Here is an 11,052-nt window from a genome sequence, read left to right on the forward strand (position 1 = left end):
CCAGATTTGCCACTATGGGCTTTGAGAACACCCAAACTGTATACAGCTCTGTTATTCTTGTTGCTTACTTTTCTCAAATGTCAATGAACATAATGAATGAAATAATTATGTATGTATACACCCACACGGGCACACACACACACACACACACACACACAGAGTCCTTAAGTGGTCGCTTAAAGTATTGTTTATATTTTGAATATATGAACTTTCCAACATATACGAAGGTAGAGAGAATATTATAATGAACTCCTTCATATCCATTACCCAGTTTCAATAATTATCCACATCAATATTTTTTCAATCTTGGTTTACCTACTTTCTACACTGTTACCTTTTGCTGTGTTACTTTAAGTCAAATCCCAGATGTCATGTTATTTTGTGTATACACCCTCTAGTATGCATCTCTAGCTGATAAAAGGACTTTCTCTTCCTCTATAACTACCATTCCCATATTACCTCTGACAACATTTATAATCATTCCTTAATACCATCTAATATTAAGAGGGTTGAAAAGTGATTCTGATTATATGTGATTTCATCTTATCTTAGCTAATCATTTTACCTAAAATCCAGGTGTGTAAGAGATTATCACAATATAGTAAGGAAAATAAGAGTAATATGAATGAAAGTACTAGAGAAAAAGAAAGTACCCATAGAGAGCTACATGTGAGGCTGTCTGCGAGAGACTAGAGGTATCTGAATCATTCTAAGCATTCTCAGCAGTGAAAATCCTGAGTGAGCTGCCTTGGTGGGCACAGAAGTGTTCTCTGTCCTGTCAAGCTGCCACATACAGCTTTTGTTGTGAACGCTTCCTGATAGCAGGCACAGTGATGATCACATCCACAATGGAATTCTAGAAATAATGCCTTCTTTTTCTCTGGGAGAATGATGGTGCTTTACAGATGAAACAAGATGCCTGCCAAATGAAATAGGATTTTTGCCTCTAATTGTAACAGCTTAATAACATAAGGGATAGTCCACAAAACTTTTTAAAATTCTGGGCTGATGCAAACTTGCTGCTGGATCTCTGCCAGCTCATTGCACCTGCAGCATTTCCCCACTAATATTTCAAAGTGTCAGCTTAAGTGGCCTGAGAGCTGCCTGCAGAACTATGGTAAATTGCTGAGATATGCCTAGACCAGCTGAGATAATAGGGCGCCAAGAAGCAGGGGAAAATGTCAACAGCTGGGGTTCATGCGACTAATTTTGTTTTCTTTAAACTTCATGGAATGACAAATCCCACTAAGAGCTAATCTGGAATTATACAATCACCAGATTCTTCATGTATTTTTAAATCCATGCAGTCAGTCAATAAATATATAGTAAACACGTATCAAAGGCACGGACGCTTTTGCCTCTTGAGCCTGTGATGGGCATCAAACATGCAGCCCTCTCTCGGGCTGAATCTGACCATGACCCCTGCATACTTCTTACCATCAAGCTCCAGGCAGCAGCAGGAGCATAATTATTAACATAGGATACAAAATCTGTTTCCTTTTTCAAGCATATTCTCAACCTCTCTGAGAAAGCGTAACAACGGGCTGACTGCTCTATGTGACTATACTGTCTCATTGTAAACAAACTAACAATGGTGCGAAGTTCTGAACAGGGCAGAGACCACACTTGTCTATATTTTTAGAACCACGCATCATGTTAGGAACAAGGAAGCTGCTCAAAAATATTTATTTAAGGATGCGATGGGTAATTGAACAAAAGAAGCATCACATATGTGCTATCTGAATCCAGTAATCTAGATTGATAGAAGTCTATGGAAAATAAGAATAACACTAGCAATGGTAACATAAAATAATTAAAATGGAAGCTGATCCTTATTGAATGATATCTTTATCTCAGGCATTGTGCGTAAGTATATTCATGGACAATCTCTCATTTATTGCTCACAGCCTTCAGCGATAGATTCTGTTATTGGCTTCATGTTTCCAAGGGGGAACCTGAGGCTTAGAGAAGTTAAACAAGTGGCCCAAAGAGCAGCTAGCAGTCTGAGTCCACTGCCTACATTCTTATCCCATCCACTGCGGCATGCTGACTCTTTGGTATAAAAAGGCTGTCCAATTTTAGGTGATCATTGTTGTCTCTAGGTATCTTTGTACAATATATCTTACATGGTCATTTCCTCCTGGAATTAAGAGCATGCTATACAATTTTTCTACTATTATTATTTTAATTTAATTTTTTTGAGACAGGGCCTCACTCTGTCCTCCAGGCTAGAATGCAGTGGTGTGAACATGGCTCACTGCAGCCTCGACCTCAAGCAATCCTCCCACCTCAGCCTCCCAAGTGGCTGGGAATACACATGCATGTCACCACGCCTGGCTAATTTAAAAAAAAAAAATTATAGAGACAGGGTCTTGCCGTGTTGCCCAGGCTAGTCTCAATCTCCTGGGCTCAAGCAATTCTGCCTCAGGCTCCTAAAGTGCTAGGATTATAGGCATGTTTCACCATGCCTAGCCTCAGTACTTGTATTTATGATTCAGGGTTTGGGTGAAAATTAAAGGACTTCTATAGAAAAGATAGCAGATGTGTCCTGGGAAGAAACTTTAGAAAAACCAGAATTGGCTGGCAATGAAAAAGAGAACACTCTGGCAGGTGGTATCCCTTGTGGGTATTTCAGGTGCTAAGGCATGGGTAGAGTGGTGAGAAAGTGATAAAATGCATGTGACCAGAAAAACAGATGTGCAGAGAAGCATGGATTAGAGCTTTAAGGAAGCTAGTTTCATAAATAACTTGGTAAATATCAGCAGAGCTTCATTTTATGGCTATTTCTGTGTTTTACTTGAATTGCTAATTACCCACAGAAATACAGTTCAGGAGTGGGGTTCTTGAAAATTTACATTTAATATGATCCTGGTACTTCAGATATTTTATTAAGTATAATTGAAAAGGGTTAACACTAGCAGTTTTCTTCTATCTGTTCTGTATTTGAAAATATACCCACTCATACATTTTATACACACACGTTATATATGCATGTACACTTGTGTATGTTTATACATATACATTATATAATGTTTGTATATATAAAGTACATATATTGTAGAAATAAAAAATACATTCCTTTTGGCTGTATCTGGCTACAATGACAAAAGGAGAACCTTTTAAATTCTGTTAATATGTTTGAATTTAAGACAGTAGGAGATATTAAATGACTTCTGTTATAAAAATAAAGTAACAAGCAAACATCACCCACTGAAGAGAAAAGCATCTGTTTAAATGATGCCTTATTATGGAAAAGAGTAAGGTTATTTATTATACTTTTGATGAATATTTTCATTGTTTTTAGTTATTAGCTATTATGAATGATGTTAATATGAACACTAAATTACAAATAATGCTGCTATAGCTATGTGCACCAAGTGTACGTTCCACATATGTATACTAGATATACACCTATGAGTATCATTGCTTAATCATATGGCATTGCATTAGTTTTGTATTCTTGCATAGAAAATGACCCCAAATACTTAGAGGCTTAAAACAACTAACACTTATTGTCACAGTTTCTTTGCATCAGGAATCTGTGTGCACCTTAGCTGGGTTGCTCTAGCTCAGGCTTTCTCACAAAGCTGCAGTCAGGATGTTGGTTGAAGGTGCTGTCTCATATGAAGGCTGGACGGAAGAAGAATCTGCTTCCAAGCTTGTACACATAGCTGTTGGCAGGTTGTTGGACCAAGGAACTTAGTTCCTCTCTGGACGTAGGATGGAAATCTCCCTCAATTCCTTGCCATATTGCCTTCCCTTTAGGGTAGCTCAGGACATGGCAGCTGGATTTCTGAAGACACCAAGAGAGTAAGAAAGATGAATGACAAAGTCTTTTTAAAAAAATATTTAACCTTTTTAATTTTGAGATCATTAATTGCAGATTCATTCACATGTAGTTGTAAGAGAGATCCTGTGTAGCTTTTACCCAGTTTCCCCCAGTGGTAACATCTTCCACAACTATAGTAAAATATCAAACCAGGATATTGACACTGATACAGTCCAGATACAGAATATTTCCATCACCAGAAAGATGCTTCATGTTGTCCTTGATATCTTCGGATACATTTACTTCCTACCAACTTCTCCTCCTTAATCCTTGGCAACTACTACTCTCTTTTCTATTTCTATAGTTTTGTCATTTCAGCAAAGCTATGTAAGAAGAATTGTGTAGTATACAACCTTTTGGCATTGGTTTTTTCATTCGGCTAATTCTCTGGATATTCATTCAGTTGTTCCATGAATTAACAGCTTCGTTCTTTTTCCTGCTGACTAGACTTATCTGGAGTGGATGTACTACACTCTACTTACCCATTCAGCCACTGAGGGACATCTGGCTTTGGAGAGGCCAGTGGCCACTTAATGATATCCATGTCCTAATCCCTAGAATCTGAGTACATTACCTGGCAAAAGGGACACTGCAGATATGATTAAATATCTTGAGATGGGGATAACATCCTGGATTATTTGGGTGGGATAAATATAATCCAAAGATCTTCCTAAGAGAGAAGCAGGAAGCCCAGAGTCAGAAAAAAAAAAAAAAAAGATTTCACAAAGGAAGCAGAGGAAGAAGAGATGGGACCACGAATTCAATGGTTGCAGCAATGTGGCCAAGAGGCCAAAAAAATTCAGGTATCATCAGAAACGGGAAAAGGCCAGGAAGCATTTCATTCTCCCCTAGAGTCTCCAGAATGAATGTCCACCTGCTGACAACTTGATTTTAGGACTTCTCACGTCCAAAACTGTATAATAATAAGTTTGTGTTATTTTAAGCCATGAAGTGTGTAATAATTAGCTACAGCAGCAATAGAAAGCTAATGTAGGTTTGTTTCCAATTTTTGGTGATTACAAACAAAGATGCTATAAACATTCATATCCTGGTTTTTGTGAGAATATGACTGTATTAGTCAGGGTCCTCTAGAGGGACAGAACGAATAGGATATATGTATATATGAAAGGAAGTTTACTAAGGATAATTGACTCACACCATCACAAGGTAAAAGTCCCACAATAGGGCCATCTGCAAATTGAGGATCAAGGAAGCCAGTGGTGGCTCAGTCCAAGCCCCAAAACCTCAAAAGTAGGGAAGCCGACAGTGTACCCTTCAGTCTGTGACCAAAGTCCTGAGAGCCCCTGGCAAACCACTGGGGTGAGTCCAAGAGTCCAAAGGCCGAAGAACCTGGAGTCTGGTGTTCAAGGGCAGGAAGAATCCAGCACTGGAGAACGACGAAGGCAGAAAGACTCAGCAAGCCAGCTCATCCCACCTTCCTCTGCCTGCTTTTTCTAGCCGCACTGGCAGCCAATTACATGGTGCCCAACTGGATTGAGGGTGAGTCTGCCTCTCCCAGTCCACAGACTCAAATGTTAATCTCCTCTGGCAATACCATCACAGACACACCCAGAAATAATACTTTGCATCCTTCAATCCAATCAAGTTCACAGTCCACATTAACCATCACAATGACTTTTATTTCTCTGGAATAAAAGCCAAGAGGTGCAATTGCCAGTTTATATGTTAGTTACACATTTAGTTTATTAAAGACACCCCTGGACTCTTTTCCAGAGTGGGTACACCACTTGAACCCACCAAGATTATATGAATTATACAGTTTATTGACATCCTTTTTCACCTTTGACATTGTTACTATTTTTTTTTTTATTTTAGCCATCCTGTAGATGTGCAGTGGTATCTCATTGTAGTTTTAATTTGCATTTCTCTGATGAATAATGATGTTGAACATCTTTTTGAGGGTTTTTGTTATCTATAGAGCATCTATGAGGAAATGTCCCTTTATGTCTTTTGCCCATTTTCTTTTTGAATTGTTTTCTACTTTTGAGTTTTGAGAATTCCTTTTATACAGCTATTCAAATTGTTTTGCCCCTGTATAAGCAAGGTTTTTTTTTTTTTGTTAATTTCTTATTGCTTTCAAACTTTTTTCTTCAGTTTTCTAATGTTAGATTATAATGTGTCTTTGTATGGATTTCTCCAGGTTTATTTTGAGTTTGTTCAGCTTCCGGTATCTCTAGGTTAATGTCTTTTGCCAAATTTGGGGAGTTTTCAGCCATCAAGATTCTGATGAATCTTGATGCTTTGAGTCTTTCTCCAGCCCTGCCCTCTTTCTAGTTTCCTTCTGAGACTCCATTGTCACAAATATTTGATCTTTTGTTACAGTTCGTTTGGTCCCTTGTGCTCCTTCTTTTCTTTTTTCTCTTTTCTTTTTTCTATGCTTTTCTTTCTTTTATTTTTTCTCTTTCTTTCTTTCTTTCTTTTCTTTCTTTCTTTCTTTCTGCATATTTTCTCTTTTTGTTCAGCTTGGTTAATTTCTGTTGCCCATTCAGTTTTTTAAATTGGTTGTTGCATTTTTCAAGTTCTAAAATTTCCATTTAGTTCTGCTTTGTATCTTCTATTTCTTTGCTGTGTCAATGAAAACAGTAAAATATTTGAAGAGATTCATTCTGAGCCAAATATGAGTGACCATGGCCCATGACGCAGCCCTCAGGAAGTCCTAAGAACATGTGCCCAAAGTATTTGGGGTGCAGCTTGGTTTTATACATTGATACATTTTAGGGACGCATGAGACAGCAATGAAATACAGTTAAGAAATACATTGGTTTGGTCCAGAAAGGCGGGACAACTCAAAGCAAGGGCTTCCAGGCTATAGGTAAATTTAAACACTTTCTAGTTGACAATTGGTTGAGTTTATCTAAAGACCTGGGATCACAGAAAGGAAATGTTCAGTTTAAGATAAAAGATTGTGGAGACCAAGGTTCTTTTGAGGTGTTATAGTGGCTGCCCTTAGAGACAGTAGATGACAAATGTTTCCTATTCAGATCTTTAAAAGGTGCTAGACTCTTGGTTAATCTCTTTAGGATTGGGAGAGCCTGGAAGAAAAGGATCTAGCTATGTTAATAGAGATTCTTCACAGATGTAAATTTCCCCTGACAATGGACAGCTTTGCATAGCCATTTCAAGATATGGCAAAGAAACATTTTTTGGGGTAAAATATTTTGACTTTCTTCTTTGTCACATAATGTTATTCCAGAGTCAGATTGGAAAGTAAGTCAGATACATAGGGTTAAATAAAACCCATCTAATGAGAATTTAATGATTTGTAGGGCATGACTCCCCAGACTCCTTAAATAGGAATTTGGGCAAGATAAAAAAAAATTAGAGTTTAGTCCTCAGCTGGAACATACTAATTTTTATTTCAGTAATATTTGCAATTTCTTTTTAAAGTATTTTTATGATGGCTGTTTTAGAAGCCTTGTCAGAGAATTCTAACATAATTGTCATCTTGGTGTTAGCATCTTCTAGTTATCTTTTGCTTGAGATCTTACTGTTTTGTTTTTTTTGTTTTTTTTGGAAATTAAACATCCTGTTCCTAAACAACAAATGGGTCAATGAAGAAATTAAACAGGTAATCTAAAAATTCTTTTGTCTGGGCATGGTGGCTCATGCCTGTAATCCCAGCACTTTGGGAGGCTGAGGCAGGCGGATCACGAAGTTAGGAGGTTGAGACCATCCTGGCTAACATGGTGAAACCCTGTCTGTACCAAAAATACAAAAAATTAGCCAGGCTTGGTGGTGGGCACCTGTAGTCCCAGCTACTTGGGAGGCTGGGGCAGGAGAATGGTGTGAACCCGGGAGGCAGAGTTTGCAGTGAGCCAAGATTGTGCCACTGCACTCCAGCCTGGGTGACAGAGCGAGACTCCATCTCAAAAAAAAAAAAAAATTATTTGAGACCAATGAAATTGGAAGCACAGAATACTAAAACCTATGGGCTACAGCAAAAGCAGTTCTAAGAGGGAAGTTGTTAGTGTTATAGCCTCGCCAATCTACCACGATGTAGCAGTATCTCATTGCCTGATGTTCTTTGTCTCACCACCAAGAAAGTTAAGGAGCATGGACATCAAGGGTGAGGTTGGAGGGAAAGTTTAATAAGTGAAAGAAGAAGGCTCTTCACTGCACAGAGGGGACCCAGAAGAGGGTTTCCATTTTCACAGTTGAATGCAAAAGCTTTTATAAGAAACCAATGAGGGCTGGGTGTCTCATTTGCATAAGGCATGCATTTCTGGTAGCTTCACCCTGTCCTCCTAATGTGCATGTGGACCCTTAGCTTGATTTACTCCATATTTCTTTATTACCCTTACTGAACATGTGTAGGGGGAAGAATTTTCCATCCTGGGCACTTCCCGGAAAGTCACCTCTATAATCTTTCTTATCTGTGTGGCTGTGGGCGTGTCTTTGGCAAGCCCCACTGTGAGAGTTCCCTTATCTATGCCTGCAGGCTGTTCTTTTATTTGAAAGAATTCAGCTGAGGACCCACCCTAACTGCCTGGGTTTTTTCCTTTCTTCTCTCTCAATAGCAATAAATCCCAACATCAAAAAGGTAGAAACACTTCAAATAAACAACCTAACAATGCACCTCAGGGAATTAAAAAAGAAAGAACAAACCAAACCAAAAAATAGTAGAAGGAAAGAATAAATATCAGAGAAAAATAAATGAAATAGAGATTAAAAGAAACAGCAATATGAAAGATCAATGACACAAAAAGTTGATTTTTTGAAAAAGTAGACATTATATACTTTAAATATTGTTATGAGTCTCTGGATCTTACGTAGGCCTTGTGTTTTATGTGGCTTCTTCTGACACTGTTTTACCAGGGGAAGGGGTGGGGTGTAGGGTGTATTCTGCTACCACCATGTTGGATACAAGTTCATGTTCCCCCAGTGGTCTTCGTTGACATCTGAGGGGAGCTCCTCATTGCTGCTAGGTAAGGATGGGGATTATGACTTCCCAGTAATTTCCACAATCCTTGGTTGGCTGGGAGATATAAGATATATCCCCTATATTTCTCCCATACCTCTGGACAGTGGTGAAAATCCTGACTCTTCTCTAGGCCTTGTCTAATGCCACCCACATAAAGAGAGGTAAGGAGTCTCGTTACGGCCAGATGGGAGTGGATGTCCAGGCGGTCTACATGGTCTCCACTGACACTGCAGTGTGGAGCCTTGCTACCAGCCAATAGGAATGCAAGTCCTGGCCCTGTACGTGGCCTTCTCTGCCACCACTCCAATGGGGAGTTAGGGCTGACTTCTTATAGCGTGTGAACTGTAGAAGTCTAATATTTTGCTGGTGGGGTGGAGATGGGCCACTGTATTTTTTTTCTGTGATGCTTGGCTGCAGTAGAGTGGATAGTATCTAAAAGTTGTCTGTCTGTCTTGCTAGGCTGCCCTTATTCTTTTCATTTGTCTAGGGAAAGCAAGGTTTTGTCAGGGCTTCATTGTGTCTGTGCCTATTGGCATTTCTAGGTTGCTGGTTCTTCAGCCTCAAGCATGGGATACATGAAGCAAAAGGAACACCCAGAGAATTAATTACCATGTTTTTCTGTGGGTACCCAGGTCACTAGCAGGTCTGCCTTCTCTCTGCCTTTCAGGGTCTTCTTAGGTTTATTTTGTAAACAGTACCCTAGGTTTTTAGTTTCACTTAGTGGAACATATAGGGGAAAAAACATCTATTCCATCTTCCCAGAAGGAGAAGTCCCAGAATATTTTTGTAACCTAATATTGGAAATGACATTCATCACTTTTGCTCCATTCTGTTATTTGGAAGTAAGTCACGGGCTACAGCTTACACTCAAGGGATAGTTTACCACAAGTATATAGGGGCACAAGTTCCAGAAGGTGAGGGTCATTGAGCAGTCTCAGAGGTTGCCTGTTGCAGGTTTGCATGTGTTCAGCTGAGTGGATATTGTGTGTAATTTCCTCAAAGTTTGTGCTAATTTCTATTAATTAGCTGGAGAATAAAAGATTGAAGCTGGCCAGGATTTATATTAATTAGCCAGACAATAAAAGTTTGAAGCTGTCCAGGATTGGTTCTTGAGGTTTCAGGAAAGAAGCCATCTCCAAAACATGATAGTGCAAGGTGATGCAGCAAGTATTGACGGAGAAGCTGCAGCAAGTTATTCAGAAGCTCTAGCTAAGATCATTAATGAAGGTGGCAACACTAAACAGCAGATTTTCCATGTAAATCAAACAACCTTATAGTGGAAGAAGATGCCACTGAGAACTCATTACAGAACTATTGTGTTCCTTTGAAGGTGTCAGTGTTTCCATGCTTTTCCATGTTCCCTGTGTCCTTGCATTGGTATCTGCACATCTGGTGTAACTGGTATGATTTGGCTGCATCCCCAGCCAAATCTCATCTTGAACTGTAGCTCCCATAATCCCCACATGTTGTGGGAAGGACCTGGTGGGAGGTAACTGAATCATGAGGGCAGATTTTCCCGTTTTGTTCTCGTGATAGAGAATAAGTCTCACAAGATCTGATGGTTTTACAAAGGGCAGTTCCCCTGCACATGCTCTCTTGCCTGCTGCCATGTAAGACCTGCTTTTGCTCCTCCTTCACCTTCCACCATGATTGTGAGGCCTCCCTAGCCAAGTGGAGTTGCAAGTCCATTAATCTCTTTTTCTTTATAAATTCCTAAGTCTCAGGGTATTTTTACATAGCAGTATGAAAATGGACTAATATGCTGTCACTTCTTTCAATTTGATATTATAGCTTCCATGGGGAAAGTCTCTCTTTTGGATGAACCTATAATGTTGATTTGGTAAGGTGCTTTGCTTTGGTACTGGTTGGGCCCCACAGTATAGTCTCCTTATGATTACTTTGGTTGTACTCATTGTTAACAGTGTCTGCAAGTTCCTTAGTAGCTTAGGCTTCTATTGTTTATGGAGGCCGTGGTGAGTCTTTTCAGGGGACAGGGTTGCAGAGCAGGCCAGTTTTCAGTCCCCAGGTAGGGAGTTTGGGTACAGGTGGTAGTGGTGGTGGTGGTGGTGGTGGTTGCAGGCCAGGTGTTACAGTCCTGGGGTCCCTGGAAGGCAGCATGCATGGGCTCCAGCAGTGTCCTTGGTGGAGCAGGCAGGCTGGCTCCCTGGTCCCTGGCTGTAGGTAACGAGTGAGTAGTGGCCCAGCTGCTGGAGGTGATGGGGTAGCTGCTGTAGTGGTAACAGTGGATGGGCTGCTCTCAGGCTGGGGAGCACACACTTTG

The 11,052-nt window shown here is 39.8% G+C and overlaps 1 annotated feature.

Annotated features, from left to right (window-relative positions):
* Window positions 7,316-8,220: an enhancer, noted in NCBI's record as "NANOG-H3K27ac hESC enhancer chr20:53719034-53719938 (GRCh37/hg19 assembly coordinates)". NCBI's record gives its function as "activates a minimal SCP1, AML or CMV promoter by ChIP-STARR-seq in naive H9 embryonic stem cells {active_cell/tissue: H9 hESC(naive)}" and the evidence as "EXISTENCE:reporter gene assay evidence [ECO:0000049][PMID:30033119]".

Source organism: Homo sapiens, chromosome 20 (genome assembly GCF_000001405.40).
Source record: "Homo sapiens chromosome 20, GRCh38.p14 Primary Assembly".
NCBI lineage: Eukaryota > Metazoa > Chordata > Mammalia > Primates > Hominidae > Homo > Homo sapiens.